Here is a 17759-nt window from a genome sequence, read left to right on the forward strand (position 1 = left end):
GTGAACATTTCCGTAGGGCTTCCCAGCATGGGGGATTTGTACATTCTGACAATTCTGCCACCCACAGCCTTGCGTAGACTGCATAGAAGGAATGAACAAGAAACAAAATGGGTGGGTGAAAGCAAATGTGAAATGTGGAGAGCTCTATGGCTGTGAGAGATTCTTTCAAGAAGACCAAAATGATTTCCAAAGCAGAACATGGAACTTCCCTTGAAATGGTTGAAGGGAGAGAGAATTCTTTAAAATAATGTATATTATACATTCTAATAATAGTCTCTATTATATATTCTAATAATAATTAGAAAATCCATGGGCTTTGGATTTAAATTCTGGTTTTAGAGCCCACTGTGTTTAACCTCTCCATCCATTAAAAGAGATGATTGTACCTATGAGATAATGGGTAAAGTGTCCAGTGGTTTTTCATAATGGATGCATAATGACTGCTCAATAAATGTTGGTTCCTGCTGATAAACAGTGATACTTCTTTTAAGTCCACTTCGGTCTTTCTTTGAGTTGCATTTACCCTTGGCCAATTAAAACACTGTTAAACAACAGCCTTCCTCTGCATTGGAAGGAAAAATATGTAGAATCTGTTTCGTCCTGAAAAGATTCAAGCTACAGGTGGATAGAAAAAGATTACTGGAGTACTCATTGCCAGTCTTGATTGGTGTTTCTACTGATCTTTCCATCTACTTCATTCTTTCTCTCCATCCCTTCTTTTCATCCTCTTCCCTCCTATCTTCATTCCTTCGCCTCTGACCTTAGAAAGCCTTCCAATATTTGTCACATATGCCTCAAAAGCAATGAGTGTCATCTGTTGTCTTGCTGGGATGTCACTCACTCTGAAATGCTGAGTATTTGGGGGCCATTGGCAACACACCTCACATTGCCCCTGAGCCATTGCCTTTGGCCAATACATTTGTGACATACTCACCCATGTTCATGCAAACTCAATGGAAGGCTGGACATTTAACATGCACAGATTTCCCTCCTCCCCCTTGCACTCTAATGAGACATGAGATCGTTGCTGGCTAGGATGTCCACCTGCAAGCTGGGAGAAGTATCATAGGAACATTTAGGCAGGAATTCTTGGCCCGAGTGGTCCCGCCTGGTGTTCCGCCTCAGTCACCTGGCTTCCGGTCCCCCAGCCCATGTGTTGCGGTGGCTCTGTGCCCTATCACAGCTTGGTAAGGGGCCATCAGCAGGGCTGCTGCCGAGCAGACATGGCGAGTCTTCACTTTCTGTGGTTGGTTCCCTTCTTTTCCCATATTGCTGCCTGGCAGGAACAGAGCTTTGATGCCTAACAAGCTCAATGACTTTCCCTCCCTGAGCTGAGAACACAAGAAAGGGGGAAGCAAAGAGAGATTAAACACTACGACCACAAATACTCCCATAGCATTCTACCCTCAACAAAGTGCCGCTTACACGCACAGTCACTTCATCTTCCAGCAACATTGTGAAGGATACTATTACTCTATTCCCGTTGTATGCCTGTGAAACTTGAGAGTGAGACAAACTATTTTTAAAATAATTTAATGTACTTATTTGCCATCTACTTCATTTCACAAAGGTTTTAAGATATCTTAAAGACGTGTGTGCCGAACTATAGGTTTAAAAACAAATAAGGAAATTGGGGTAAATGCAAAATAAGAAGAAACTAGTGGAAAGTTCACCTCTAAGTATGAAAAAGCTAGCTGAGAGTTTGGATACCCAGTGGATACCATGAGGTGCCATGCCCTTGTTCACAGTGGGCTGCAGATTTCGCCCTGAGATTCCTTGCCTACCATGGTAGAAAAGAAACCCACAGAAGCAACCAGATTTCAACTGCTTGTTAGACTTTTTTGAACTGTCATTCAGGAAATTTTCAGGAATCCTAGACACTGAAACCTAGAGGAATTTGTCTAGCAGGTTTTCCTGAAGGGCACAGTGTGTGACGTAGTGCATATTGTGCCCATCATAAATACAATAGTAAGTTTTGCAGGGCACATGAGAGCTGGAATCACTCACTCAAAGTCACCCAACTGGTAAGCAGTCAATCGCAGTCCTTTGATCCCATGTCTCATCACATTACCTGTCACTGGTTATTTGTGGTCTCTTCTGTTTACTTGTAAGGATCATTTTCAGAGTCCTTATCAAGGTCAGAAAACATCCATCTGAAATGAACATGAGCATTTGAGGATTAATAGTAATAATAACAACATTAACAATAATAACAACAATGGTTACTGTTGCCGGTTGCTTGCCTAGCAGGTACTGTGCTAAGTGCTTTACAGTATGTCATTTTATAGAATTCTCACAAAATCCTATGTGGTGGATGACTGTTATCCCCCATGATGAGGAAATAAATGGATTCAGAAAGGCTAACAACTTGACGAACATGAAATGTCTAGTAAGTAATCCAGCTGGGATTTAAACCCAGGCTTGTCTGACCCACAGCTCTTGCCTTTACCCACCAGGCGTCACTCTCTCACCCTGAGAGAGGTAGTATCACCCTGTTGAGTGTTCTAGTAGCTGTGGCGGCTGAGTTCAAAGACAGAATTATCAGAGGAGGTCAGAGGGGAAGTCCACGGATCCACAGGCAGCAGAGTGCCTCAGGACAGCCATGTATACCATCTGTGTCCCGGCCTGGCTTTGGTGTCCATCTCTACTCAAAATGGCAGCTCAGTAGGAAGCTGACCTTGACAAGTCGAGAGACAGAGCTGCATGTCTGCCTTGCAATTTTGAGTTGGGGCTGATCTCAAAGTAACAAGACATGGCTCCTTCTGCACCTGTCCTCTTCCTGCTCTATCCATGACATCCTTGGTCTCTCAGGTCCACAGTACAAGATCTTTCTGAGGTCTTAGTTAATTAAAGTATGTGGGATGAAAAGCAAGAAAACCAACTTCTGAACTGGCCCAGAGACAGAACTACTGCTGGCAGAAATAGAGTTTCCATTGCTTTTTGTCTGTATAAATTGATATATTTAAGTAGAGAGAGAATCTACTTCGCTCATGGGAAATCTGAATATGAACTAATCAGGGATTTATGTTGGCCACAGCAAAAGAGAGTATGATGTTTACTCATGTGTTCAGCAAACATTCATTATTTGCTTGTTACGTGCCACGCTATGCTTGGTTCTTTGGGCAAAATGGGGAACATAAGACCCAGCACCCACTCTCCTCAGAGATGAGCATGTGCGTAGTATAGACAAGACAGTGAGTGATGGGTATCTAGGTATATTTCTGTTTGTAGTAGAGAGGGGTGGCTTTCAAACTGAGCCATGATAACATTTCAACAGGCAGAGAAGACTTAAGGCAGGGCATATTAGTTTGCAAGGACTATTGTAACAAGTGACCACCAAATGTGTAGATTAAAACAATAGAAATGTATTCTCTCACAGTTCTGGAAGCTAGAACTCTGAAATCAAGGTGTTGACAGAGCTGTGTTTCCTCTGAAGGCACAAGAGAAGGATCCTTATTTGCCTCTTCCTAGCTTCTGACAGCTCCCAGCGTTCCTTGACGCTACTTGGCTTATAGCTGCATCACTCTCATGTTTGTCTCCATCTTCATATGGGCTTTTTCTCTATGTGTATCTCTTTGTGCCCTCTTTTCTTCTTATAAGAACACTAGTCATTGGGTTTAGGGCACACCCTAATCTAGTCTGGCCTTAACTGATTGCCATCTGCAAAGAACCTATGTCCCAATAAAGTCTGGGGTTCCAGGTAGACTTAAGTTTATGGGGGACACTCTTCAACCCACTACACGAGGGAAGAGACAATTTAATAAACCACTGAGGTCGGTGGAAGCAAGACATGTTTGCAGAATGTTATTAGACATTTCCGGGGTCCTGAAGAGAATAGGAAGCATACCAGAGAAGTATGTTCTGGCCAAAGTATGAAGCGCCTGGATACTAATATAGAAGTTGGAACTTTAGTCAGTAGACAGATGGGAAGCCAGGACAAATTCTGATCAGGTTACTGATGAGACACTTATTGAATACTAATTTAGCAAAGGTTGAAGCAAAGGATTGGTAGACCCATCTCATTCAGGAACTGTGAACTTAGGTCAGATCAACGTTTGGTGAGATTGACCATGATTTGATGAGTTTAACTAGGGAAAAATTAAGCCCTGAACTTCTCTTTCAAGGATGAAGTCAGTGGTAGGACTTTTGGTAGGTTTTCATTCATGCAACAAATATTTATTGAACACCCACTATATGCCAGCCTTATTTTGTTTTTGGCTTTTTGAAGGAGACTTTTTATTATTTTTATATACAGAAAACTGAACAGTGTACATTTAACCCAGTTTAGTGGCAAGTCTTTTAGCTTCTGCCTCTTACAGCTTGGCAACACAAGCCACAGATTTTGGACCAAGGACCTTGCCTCCTCAGTGATGTGGGATCTCATCATATCTGTCATTATAATTGGTCCTGATGGCTTCTACCAGCTTAGCCAAAGCGCCTTTGTCTTCCAAGTTAATGTGTGTGAAGGCAACAGTAGTGCAGATCTCCCTGTGGACTAGACACCCCAATTTGGCCATCTCCTTGATAATACAATAGGGGACTCCCTTCTTAGGACTCAGGGCAAGCGGGAAGACAGCCAGCTCCATGGGATCCACATCATGTGCAGTCACCATCGGCTGAGCTTTCTTGTTCTCTACTGAGGTGGTAAGAGTATTAACTCCTGCTGGAAGGACAGGTGGCCTCTTCGTGGGGACATTCCCTTTGCTGGCAGCTTTCTTCTCAATGCAGGCCAACAATCTTCTTCTCTTGCTTTGTCTCTAGCCAGTTTAAGCAGTTGAGTAGCTGTTAGGGGTCCAAGTCATGGGTGAATTGGTTAATCACAGGAGTCATTCTGAGCTGCTTATAGGGTAGCCCTTTACTACTATAGCCAGAAGTAGTGGGAATATTTGACAAAAGGACTAAGGTCCCTTTGGGGCTGGAGGTCCTGTCTTATGCCAACATTCTTAAGCCTTTTCTCGAACAGGGGATTCACCACCCTCTTGGCCTCCTACTTTTTAATGACAGCAGGAGCCAAGGCCGTCTTCTTCCCCTTGGCCTTTTTTTCTTTTGACATCTTGGGCAGCTGGAGGAGAAAGCTCTAGCATTGTTTTAAGCTGTAGGGATACAGCCATGAAGAGTCAGGCAAGGTTTCTGCACTGAAGGAATTTGAACTTGAACGAGAAGAGAGACTAAAAAACAGGTGAATAATAGTTTTATGAGGGTATTCCTATTGAGTTGATCACCATTGGAAGCACAATGTTTCATGCTTAGCTTTGCCCATGTATATGTATCTTGCACATCCATAGTGAGCCTTAAAAACTGGCCACAGATTTTAGGGATGAAACACAGTTTTGCCACATATTTACATTGTAATTTTGGAACCATGTAATCACTGCTATGGGTCTTTAATTGGCATATTAACTTAAAGTTTCTGTTTCCCAATACATAGACAAATGCCGCATTTAACTGAACCTTGCAAGTGGGAGCCTTGGGAACGGAAATAATCTCCCCTAATTTATCTGATCAGTGTCATTTTTCTTGAGAATAAAGTCTACAGTGAGATTGCCAATCTTTAATTTTATTCAGTGAAATTACATGTTTCCTTTCAACTTCTCCAAATACCTTTGCCTGATAGAATTAGAGGTGCCATTTCCAGTTCCTTCTAGCTTGAGGATGGCAGCCTGGCTAACATCAAAACCTCATACTTCCTACCAGGAACTGTTTTGCTTGTGTTTATGTTTGTCTATTTATGGCTATGTTTTGGGATGATTTATATAAAAATAATGTTATTTTCTTCATAGCTTTCTCTAATACTCAGACTTTGTCACTTCTTTGCTTTGGTGCAAAGAGGGACTCAGTCCTCTAGAGTGGCAATTTGCACGCAAAGTTTTGGTGGAGTGAAGAACTTCCAATCTCATTGCTTCATGTAGACTTGGCATGTTCTGGGAAGGAAACCCACCTATGTTGTGGTGTGCCTTTCAGGAAGGATTTTTGCTAGTTGAATCTGGGCTCTGCAGTGGTGTGGTTTCTCGCCAATTTGAGCAGAAGTGAACCCTCTGTATTGCAGCTGTGCAGAATTTTCCACTGACCTCCATGGAGGCTTGAAAGCATGCTATTCTCAGCTCTTGTTGCACCTTAGTACACATGTGCTTCAATGTGACATTACTCTCGGGCCCAACCTCTTCGGTTTTATGTCCTGCTGCAGCACCAAGCATCTTTTGAGTAGGAGGAGATGAGAGACACAATCCATCTTGTAGTTGAACTGGTGAAGTCATAATATTTTTGCAGCCAGTGCTAGAAGCTGAGTCACAATGAGTGTGATTCAGGCCTTGAGTTTTCACCCAAGGTAATTTTGAGAGGTGTGAAGTCAAAAAGACCCACAGTTGTCACTGCCCCCATAGAAAAAGCCCTGAGCACTGAGCTTCTGTAACCAAGGCAGAGCCCAGTCTATACCTGGAACCATTCCAGTTTTTAACTTTTATGTCTTTCATTTGCCTCAAGAATGAATGACCTCATTCAGAAAACACTGTCAGTCATTTGCCCACCTTTTAAAGTCTGTCTTTTTTTATTTTTATCTTGGTCATGTTAACCATGTTTTTAGAAAGGGGAAAAAGCTAACTTTTTTTCTAAAATTAATATCTCAGTAAAAACTCACATAATTAAGAGATTTGGTAGACTGGCATTGTCTTAGTTTGGAAATGGGAAGTTCTAGATTTCAGATTTAAGTTCAGCAGGGATTTGACCCTTTCCTCAAATGTAGAAGGTGCTTGAAAGACATTCAGATATAAAGGGTTACCTTAGAAATCTGTAGCTTTTGCATTTTTTAAATATTATGAATGAAAGGCTTATAAGCACACACATACAGACTGGAGAGTTCTTATCAGGGGTCCAAGAGGAGGGCCCTGGCAGAGATCAGAAGACCTGTGTTCCCAGGTCACAGCTTTGTGCTGAACCAGAGGTGTGACTTTGAGGAAGTAGCTTAATTGATCAGTTCTCGGTTTCCACATCAACAAACTGAAGAAAATAGAACTGACTTTGCAGGGTGTTATGAGAACAAAAAGTTATGTCAAGGGTAGAACACCTAACGGTGCTTGAACCGTAGCGAGCACTTAATAGTCTGCAGTGGTGTTCACATGAATAATTACTTGAACTTCAGGGTGTTATTCTGACTATTCATGACTTTGTGTAAAATTCACTTAGACACACATAGTGAAATTGGAAACTGCAAAGAAAACCAACCTAAGTGGTAGAGGAATTGAAAAGGAGGCTCATAAAAAAGTTTGAAAGAACTGATTATTAATTGTGGAGAAGTGAAGACTGGAGAGTCACTGAATGACTATCTTTGAGGCGTGTGGGACATCATTATATGAAAAATGATACCGGGCTGTTCTTCTTCACCGTAGAGGTCAACGGAACCAAGGCAGGCAGGACAGGGCAAAGCCAAAGAATGAAAGTAGAAACAGTAGAGATGATAACATATAAATGAGGAACTAAAATGTAGAGAGAGCAAGGGGGATGCAGTCCCAAGGAAGATGCCAGTAAAGTTCATGTCAACACTTCCCATGAACTCCTAAGGTCTAAAGGCATATCCCCAGCATGGGGGCAGTTCCCCGTGGTTCAGCCTGCATGCCCCATCTCTTGCTGTTGACACTAGCTTGTTCATGGGTTCTGTCCATGAGTGCCTTACCCAGCGTAGTTGCAGTTAATGCCTGGCACTTTGCTTAGAGCAGTGATTCTCAGCTGAGGTCAATTTGCCTCCCCAGAGTGTGTTAGTCTGCAGGCATTTTTGGTTGTCACAGCTGGAGAGAAGGGGGTGCTTTTGACACCTAGTGGGTAGAGGCCACAGTTATTGCTAAACATCCTGCAATGCACAGGCTGGCCCCCCACAACAAGGAATTATCCTGTCCCAAAATTTCAATAATGCTACTTTTTAGAAACCTTGAGTTACAAGAATAGAATATCCTAGCATGAGCTCCTTAAGATTTACTAGTTTATGCCAAAGCATTTTTTTTTCTCCGTTTACACCAAACCATACAACTGAATGGTTAGAGGACTTAAACAGTTGCTATTCTAAAAAAATGTGTGGATTACATTATAATCATGTGTTTCTTAGCTGTCTGCTATACTTGGGTTTAAAAATATTTATATTTCTAAATAAGCAACTGATTCTTTGTATAGGGAAAATAACATGCATTAGAGCTCCAGGGGGTATGTTGCAGATACCACCTTCCACGCTTCCTCTGCCCAGCATTTTGCGGGCCGATTAATCGCTGCCTTCAAGGACTCCCAAGGCAGTGACTGCCCTACAATCAGAGTGTTGTGGTTGAGACTAAGGCATGACATTGGGTGGGGAAAATTCCCTAGAGCCTGCACACTGGCCAGCAACAAAGGGAGGACTCTAAAGAGTGAGTCGCATCGGTGTACAACGTACCGATGCCCTGGAAACATTGCTATTCAGTGACTCTGGGAATAAATCATGCTTTCTTGACTTAATAATACATTGCTGTTTCTAAATAATATAAGTATATGTTGTGTGCGTCCATTTGTAAACTTTCTGAGTCTTCTGAAATCCAGACACAGCATGAAAACACATGCTATATTTGATTCTTGCATAAATAGCACAGATTTTAATTTTATCCCAGTTATGGATATCTGGCGTGTGCGCTGATACTCTGGGCAGACTGGTGTGAAATTTAATTTGAGCAGTTAAACACAAGGGTGAGAGAGTGCAAAATAAACAAGCACACGCATTTCCAGCCCTACAGCATTTGGTATGTTAACGGGAAAAGCACCCAAATCCTCTCTCTCTTTTATTTTTTCCCTCTGACAATCAGATTACAGACTGTCTAAAAAGACACAAATCCTCCCTGTCTCCTGCGCAACCCCACCTCCCCCGATTGTTGCCTGCAGTCATTTCATTTGTGAGCTCTTCATAGTTGGAGTTTTAGTGAATGAAAGTGTACAGGTTTGCTTTCAGACTTGATATTAGATGAGAAATCCCCTTAGTTTCAAAAGGAGGGAAGAGTCTCTTTGAGAATACCTTAGAAGGGGAAATGAGAATGGAATTGGAAATAGTGAGAAATAATAGATTTACAGTTAAGCAGACCTGGTTTCACATCTCTGCTTTGCCAACTGCAATGTCTATGACCTTTGGAGAGTTACTTAAAGACTCTGTTGCCCATTTGTACTTATTTGTAAAAATGAGAGTAACTCCAGCCTCATAAAGTTGCTGATAGAAAGGTACCAGAACATAGGTGCCTGGTGAATGTCAGTTTCTTTCCCCATTAAAGACATCTGTAAGTCCAGCCTCAGTTGCACTTGCTGAGGAAGGAAGGCATGCTAATGGTTGTTGTCAGTAATCATTAATGTTGGTAAAAATTGCAGCTACTTCTATTCCTCCCCCTTGCCTTAATCACCTCCATTCAGGAATTAGCAAGCACCTACTAGCCCACCCCACCTCTATTTATAGGTCATTCTGGGTATTAAGTACACAAAGAGCTTTTGGTCTTAAAAACACCCACTCATTCCTGAGGAATATGTTGTTTGGGGGTTAGGGGAGGGGCAGGGTGCATGTGTGTCAGTTCAAGGAACCAGATCCACGAGGAGCAGCAAGATTGGGTGAGTTTCTTCTTGTATTCCAAAGAAAGAACTTCTGTTTTGCCATCAGTAAAAATTCCCATCTTTCCATTCAATTTGTTTCCACAGAAGAGCGTGTTGTCCCCATTGAAGTTTGCCGGTCCAAACTGTCCAAATACTTGCAGGGAGTAGTTTTCCGCTGTGATAAGTGTACCTTCACCTGCTCCAGTGATGAGAGCCTCCAGCAACATATAGAAAAGCACAATGAACTGAAACCTTACAAATGCCAGCTCTGCTACTATGAGACCAAGCACACGGAGGAACTGGACAGCCACCTTCGGGATGAGCATAAGGTACTTACCAGGACTTCCTGCTCCCGCCTCAGCACACTTGTGGGGAGGGGCCAAGGGGGAGACACCACTGCATTTAGTCACGACCACTGTGTACCAGATGGAGATGTGGACTCAAAGAGCTTTTAAAGTGAGGTCTAGTTTCTTCTATTAGAAACGTAAGGTCATTTTTAAAAATTGCGAAACACAGGTTGGGTGGAAGGGAAATCACCCATAATTCTACCACACTAGTCCAAATGCTGAACATTTCTGGTCTGTTCTCTAGACCCACTTTCATTTGTTTTACGTAATTGTGATTATACTATACATAAAACATGATACCTTACATTTTTTAAAGCTTATTCTAAAAGAAGTATTTTGCTATGTTATTTGAAATGTTAATACATTTTAAATGACAGGGTTTGGCAGTTTCTATAAAGGACCGGAGAGCAAATATTTTAGCCTTTGCAGGCCTAAAATGTAGTCTTTGTGGCAATTAAGAAAGCAGCCATGCTGGAGTTCAAGACCAGCCTGGGCAACATGGCGAAACCCCATCTCTACAAAAAATACAAAAGATTAGCCAGGCATGGTGGTGTGCACCTGTGGTCCCAACTACTTGGGAGGCTGAGGAGGGAGGATCACTTGAGCCTGGGAGGTGGAGGTTGCAGTGAAGTGAGATAGCACCACTGCACTGGAGCGTGGGCGACAAAAAAAGAAAGAAAGCAGCCATAGACAATACATAAATGAGCCAACATGACTATGTTCCAGTAAAAGTTTATTTACAAAGACAGGCAACAGGCTGTGGGCCCACAGTTGCCAACCCCTGTTCTGATAGAATTACCTCTGTGTTCCTCAATCGTGTAGGTGGTTTCCAATATTTTGCTAACTACAAAGATTTGTCAAGGCATTACCCAGTATGTCTGAACATTATAAGGATTGTAAAATATATGTTTTGGGAGGAAGGAGACTCGAGAATGAATACATTAGTACAGGACATAAAATAGAGGATTTGTGAAAAAAAATTCTCTTCCAGAGGTTTGCCGATCAGAGGGTAGAAATCACACAGGACAACTTCCTCACTCTGCACAGGGCTCATCTGGCATCTCATGAACTGAGATGATCATTTCTGGTATTGCCCAGAGTACAGAAGGAGCTATAATTAGTATTTGTTTAATGACAAGAGCCTATCAAAATGCTTTTTAATTAGCCAACAAGTCCAAAATATCTATTGAGTATTTACTGAAGGCACAAGGAGAAGCACTTTTGATATTGTTTGCTTTTTCCTTGCTCTGTATCCTCATGAGTGGAAATATAGTCCTTCTTTTCTGGCCTTACAAACCCACATTATAAAGAATTTAGTCTGAATCATCTGCACCCATGGGTTAGAATTGTTCTGTGGGGTGTTGAGAGAGAAGGCTGAGCTTTGTCACCTGTCCACAATGGACCAGTTTAATGGTAACTTCTCTGCTTTGGAATGCACTTATTTTCCAATGTGTCTGCCCGAGAAAATGAAGCAAAGAGGAAAAGCCTGAATTACCTCACTTAAAATTTTTCATATCCTTTCTTTTTCAAACTTCCTGGGCATTTCTTCCCCAAACTTAAGGGTAAATTACTCATCTTTTTCAAACAAAGCTTTCTATAATTATTCACATGTATCTTATTTACGTAACTACCTCAGACCTTTTTATTACAGTGTTTAAGCCTCCGGGCTGATATTTTCAGACAGAACAAATCAGAAAGAAGATTCTTCTCTAGTTGTTGCACGGTAGCTTGCAAATCACTGAGGAAATCCAGAAAATGTTAGAAACCATAGAACCAGAGGGTTCCTCAGCAGTGGGCGGAAGGCTGAGGCTTTGAGGTATGGATCATGGAAATGAGTTGCTCAGGAACATAGGGCCCAATTAAGAGCTTTTGAACCAAAAAGATCTGGGTTTTAATCTTGTCTCCACCATTTACTGTGCATATTTCAACAAATTACTTAAATTTCTGGGTCTGTTTTCCAGTTCGTAAATGGGAATTGTTATACCTTTCTCAGAAGTTTTGTAAGATTAAATGAAGTCCTGTATCTCCTCCACTTTGAGACCCAATACATTCCTTAGAGTATTTGTTAATTGAATTGTGTTCAAATATAATAATAGATGTACCTATCATAATGGCAGCTGTGTTCCCAAAGACCTAAAACATATTACAAAACCACTAATTATACTTTGCATCTTAGACACGGTCTTTTTTAAAAATTATTTTTCCATTGAGTATTGCGATACAAGTGGCATTTGGTTACATGAGTAATTTCTTTAGTGGTGATTTGTGAGATTTTGGTGCACCCATCACCCCAGCAGTATACACTGCACCCTATTTGTAGTCTTTTATCCCTTGCCCCCCTCCACCCTTCCTCCCAAGTCCCCAAAGTCCATTGTATTATTCTTAGGCTTTTTTTCCTGATAGCTTAGCTCCCACATATCAGTGAGAACATACCATGTTTGGTTTTCCATCCCTGAGTTACTTCACTTAGAATACTAGTCTCCAGTTTCATCCAGGTCGCTGCACATGCCATTAATACATTCCTTTTTATGGCTGAGTAGTATTCCATCATAGATAGATAGATAGATAGATAGATAGATAGATAGATAGATAGATAGATAGATAGATAGATATCACAGTTTCTTTATCCACTTGTTGACTGATGGGCATTTGGGTTGGTTCCATGATTTTGCAATTGTGAATTGTGCTGCTATAAACATGCATATGCAAGTATCTTTTTCGAATAGTGACTTTTCCTCTGGGTAGATACCCAGTAGTGGAATTGGTGGATCAAATGGCAGTTCTACTTTTAGTTCTTTAAGGAATCACCACACTGTTTTCCATAGTGGCTGTACTAGTTTATATCCCACCAGCAGTGTAGAAGTGTTCGCTCTTCGTTGCATCCATGCCAGTATCTACTGGATTTTTTAAATTTTTTTTATTATGTCCATTTTTGCAGAAGTAAGGTGGTATTGCATTGTGGTTTCGATTTGCATTTCCCTGATCATTAGTGATGCTGAGCATTTTTCCATATGTCTGTTGGCCATCTGTATCTCTTCTTTTGAGAACTGTCTATTCATGTCCTTAGCCCACTTTTTCATGAGATTGTTTTTTTCTTACTGATTTGTTTGATTTCATTGTAGATTCTGATATTAGTCCTTTGTCAGTTGTATAGATTGTGAAGATTTTCTCCCACTCTGTGGGTTGTCTGTTTACTCTGCTAACTATTCTTTCTGCCATGCAAAAGCTCTTTAGTTTAAGTAAGTCCCAACTATTTATCTTTGTATTTATTGCATTTGGTTTTGGGTTCTTGGTCATGAAGTCCTTGCCTAAGCCAGTGTCTAGAAGGGTTTTTCCAATGTTATCTTCTAGAATTTTTATAGTTTCTCCTCTTAGATTTAAGTCCTTAATCCATCTTGAGTTGATTTTTGTATAAAGTGAGAGATGAGGATCCAGTTTCATTCTCCTACATGTGGCTAGCCAATTATCCCAGCACCATTTGTTGAAAAGGGTGTCCTTTCCCCACTTCATGTTTTGTTTGCTTTGCCAAAGATCAATTGGCTATAAGTATTTGGGTATATTTCTGGGTTCTCTATTCTGTTCCATTGGTATATATGCCTATTTTTATACCAGTACTATGCTGTTTTGGTGAGGAACAGCATAGTACAGTTTGAAATCAGATAGTGTGATTGTAGTAGTCTGTTTTCACACTACTGATAAAGACGTACCTGAGACTGGGCAATTTACAAAAGCAAGAGGTTTAATTGGACTTATAGTTCCAGGTGGCTGGGGAAGCCTCACAATCATGGCAGAAGGCAAGGAGGAGAAAGTCCTGTTTTACATGGATGGCAACAGGCAAAAAGAGAAGGAGGAAGACACAAAAGCGGAAACCCCTGGTAAACCATTAGATCTCATGAGACATTCACTACCACAAGAACAGTATGGGGGAAACTGCCCACGTGATTCAATTATCTCCCACCAGACCCCTCCCACAGTACATGGGAATTATGGGAGTACAATTCAAGATGAGATTTGGGTGGGGACACAGAGCTGAACCATATCAGTGATGTCCTCAGAGTTATTATTTTTGCTTAGTCTTGCTTTAGCTATCTGGGCTCTTTTTTGGTTCCATTTGAACTTTAGAATTGTTCTTTCTAATTCTGTGAAGCATGATGGTGGTATTTTGATGCAGATTGCATTAAATTTGTAGATTGCTTTTGGCAGTATGGTCATTTTCACAATGTTGATTCTTCCCATCCATGAGCATGGGATGTGTTTCCATTTGTTTGTGTCGTCTACGATTTCTTTCAGCAGTGTTTTGTAGTTTTCCTTGTAGAGGTCTTTTGCCTCCTTTGTTAGGTATATTCCTAAGTACTTTATTTTTTTGCGGCTATTTTAAAAGGGGTTGGGTTCTTGATTTGATTCTCCACTGGTCGCTGTTGATGTATGGAAGAGCTACTGATCTGTGTACATTAATCTTGTATCTGGAAACTTTGCTGAATTCCTTTATCGGTTCTAGGAGATTTCTGGAGGAGTCCTTAGGGTTTTTGAAGTAAATGATCATATCATCAGCAAACAATGATGGTTTGACTCCCTCTTTGCCAGTTTTGGATAACCTTTATTTCTTTCTCTTCTCTGATTGTTTTGGCAAGGACTTCCAGTACTATGTTGAAGAGGAGTGGTGAGAGTGGGCATCCTTGTCTTGTTCCAGTTCTCAGAGGGACAGCTTTCAACTTTTCCCCATTCAGTATTACGTTGGCTGTGGGTTTGTCATAGGTGGCTTTTATTACATTAAGGTATGTCCTTTGTATGCCAATTTTGCTGGGAGTTTTAATCTTAAAGCAATCCTGGATATTGTCCAATGCTTTTTCTGCATCTATTGAGATGAGCATGCGATTTCTGTTTCAAATTCTGTTTATGTGGTGTATCACATTTATTGACTCGTGTACGTTAAACTATCCCTGCATCCCTGGTATGAAACCCACTTGATCATGGTGGATTATCTTTTTGATATGTTGTTGAGTTTGGTTAGCTAGTATTTTGTTAAGGATTTTAGTGTCTGTGTTCATGAGGGGTATCAGTCTGTAGTTTTCTTTTTTGGTTATGTCCTTTGCTGGTTTTGGTATTAGGGTGATGCTGGCTTCCCAGAATGAATTAGGGAGGGTTCCCTCTTTCTCTATCTTGTGGGATAGTGTCAAAAGTAATGCTACCAATCCTTTGAGTACCAATTCTGGTAGAATTCTGCTGTGAATACATCTGGTCCTGGACTTTTTTTGTTGGTAATTTTTAAATTACCATTTCAATCTCGCTACTTGTCATTGGTCTGTTCAGGGTATCTAATTCTTCCTGATTTAGGCTACGAGGGTTGTATTTTTCCAGGAATTTATCCATCTCTGCCAGGTTTTCTAGTTTATGTGCGTAAAGGTGTTCATAGTAGCCTTGAATGATCTTTTGTATTTCTGTGGTGTCAGTTGTAATATCTGCCATTTCATTTCTTAATGAGGTTATTTGGATTTTCTCTCTTCTTTTCTTGGTTAATCTTGCTAATGGTCTATCAATTTTATTTATCTTTTCAAAGAACCACTCTTGTTTTATTTATCTTTTGTATTGTTTTTTGTTTGTTTGTTTCAATTTCATTTAGTTCTGCTCTGATCTTGGTGATTTCCCTTAACACTGCCTTTGCTGTATCCCAGAGGTTTTGATAGGTGATGTCATTATTGTCGTTTGGTTCAAAGAATTTTTAAATTTTCATCTTGATATCATTTTTGACCCAATGCTCATTCAGGAGCCAGTTATTTAATTTCCATGTATTTGCATAGTTTTGAAGATTCCTTTTTAGAGTTGATTTCCGGTTTTATTCCACTCTGGTCTGAGAGACTGCTTGATACAATTTCAATTTTCTTAATTTATTGAGGCTCATTCTATGGCTCGTCATAGTCTACCTTGGAGAAAGTTCCCTGCACTGTTGAATAGAATGTGTATTCTGTGGTTGTTGGATGGAATGTTCTGTATGTATCTGTTAAGCCCATTTTTTCCAAGGTATAGTTTAAATCCATTGTTCTTTTGTTGACTTTCTGTCTTGATGACCTGTCTAGTGCTGTTAGTGGAGTATTGAAGTCCCCCACTATTATTGTATTGCTGTCTGTCTCATTTCTTAGTTTAGACACAGTCTTTAACGTAATATTTTCACTATGCCATATTATGTTCTTTAATTTTTTTCTCTTCCTCATGGTTGACCAGCTTATTAAGTCCAGTGAGCACCTAATTGAAGCTAAAGAATTGCGACTTCCTGCATGCCTAATGATTCTCATGTTTGTCTCAATTGTTAGGTTTATGAGACTCATGCTTATTACTGAGATAGCAGTACTTTTTTTCTCATTTTCTAATCTTTTTTCCCTACATGATGAGTACAAAATGCAATTTGAATTTTTGAAATAATTCTCCAAAGACTTTTGTAAGTAAAGATGGCAGTGCTATTGAAACTGAATTTTTGGCTGACAGCCAGTGGAATTATGTGCTGGCTAAAAATGGTCATTTGTTAGGGGGAAAGATATACAAACACCTGATTTCAGGGTTCATGAGAGAGGAATAGGGGTATCAGTGTACAATGTACTGAACAGAATTATGCTGAAAATTCAAATATAAAAGTCAAGGACCATAATGCTAAAACAAGAAATTAAAGGCATGAGAATTGGAAAGGAAGAAACACAACTTTTTATTTATAGACAATTTGATTTTTATAGGGAGAAAATCCGCAGAATCTACAAAAAAAAGCTACTAGAACATGAATGAGCTTAGCAAGATTGCAAGATATAAAATCAATATACAAAAATCAGTTATGTTTCTGTATACTAGTAATGGACAACTGGAAAATGAAATTTTAAGAAGATCAGTTTCATGTACAATAACATCAAAAAGAATAAAAGTCTTAAGAATACATTTAACATGAGAACTATACACTGAAAACTACAGTGTTGCTGAGAGAAATTTATAAAACTAAATTAATGCAATATATACCATGTTTATTAATTAGGAGACCCAATATTGGTAATTCTTTTCATAATCATGTACAGATTCAACATAATCTCTATCAAAATCCCAGTAGGCTTTTTGGGGGTAGAAAGTGACAAACTGGCCCTAAAATTTATATGGAAATGCAAATGACCTATAGAATATCCTAGTGTGGAGAAACAACAAAATCAGAGGATTCACCCATCTTGATTTCAAAACTCACTGTAAATTGACGTAAGATAGATGCATAGATCAGTAGTGCAGAAGCAAAAGTCAAGAAATAAACCCTCATATATGTGGTCAGTTGATTTTCATAAAAGGTGTTAAGGTAATAGGGAAAGGATGATTTTTTTTTTAAATGGTGCTGAAACAATTAGATTTGTGTATGCAGATTATGACCCTTGACCTTTACAGCACTCTCTACACACACACACACACACACACACACACACACACACACACACAACAATCAAAATGGACCGTAAGCTTAAATGTGTGAGCTAAAACTATAAAACTTTCAGAAGAATAATAGAAGATTATATCATCTTGGGTTAGGGAAAAAAATTTTTATATATGATGCAAAAGTTATGGACAACTAAAAGAAAAAAGAAGACACCATTAAGAAAATGAAAAGGCAAGCAACAGACTAGAAGCAAATATTTGCAAAGTAATTATCTAACAAAGGGCTTTAACCAAAATATTTAAAGAAATCTTACAACTCAACAATAAGAAGATAAGCAATTCAGTTAAAAATGAGCACAAGATTTGAATAGACACCTTACCAAAGAAGATATACAAATGGCAAATAAGCACATGAAAAAATGTTCAGCTTGATTCACCACT

General features: G+C 39.9%; 1 protein-coding gene, 1 long non-coding RNA gene and 1 pseudogene across 37 annotated transcripts in view; 1 reads left to right on the forward strand and 2 right to left on the reverse strand.

Moving 5' to 3' along the window:
• The window catches only part of ZNF462 (zinc finger protein 462), a 153477-nt gene that overhangs the window by 114344 nt on the left and 21374 nt on the right, over positions 1-17759 (forward strand). For all 36 annotated transcript variants that reach the window (XM_047423662.1, XM_047423672.1, XM_047423680.1 and 33 more), the window contains one exon: positions 9685-9908. In XM_047423662.1, the coding sequence (XP_047279618.1) occupies positions 9685-9908 (224 nt within the window). The remainder of the gene's footprint in view (positions 1-9684; positions 9909-17759) is intronic.
• LOC340512 (uncharacterized) overlaps positions 332-17759 on the reverse strand; it is a 128156-nt gene continuing 110728 nt past the window's right edge. Inside the window, exon 5 of the long non-coding RNA NR_126029.1 lies at positions 332-2153. This is a non-coding gene — a long non-coding RNA (uncharacterized LOC340512). The remainder of the gene's footprint in view (positions 2154-17759) is intronic.
• On the reverse strand, positions 4224-5075 carry RPL7AP44 (ribosomal protein L7a pseudogene 44; annotated as a pseudogene).

Source organism: Homo sapiens, chromosome 9 (genome assembly GCF_000001405.40).
Source record: "Homo sapiens chromosome 9, GRCh38.p14 Primary Assembly".
NCBI classification, from domain to species: Eukaryota; Metazoa; Chordata; class Mammalia; order Primates; family Hominidae; genus Homo; species Homo sapiens.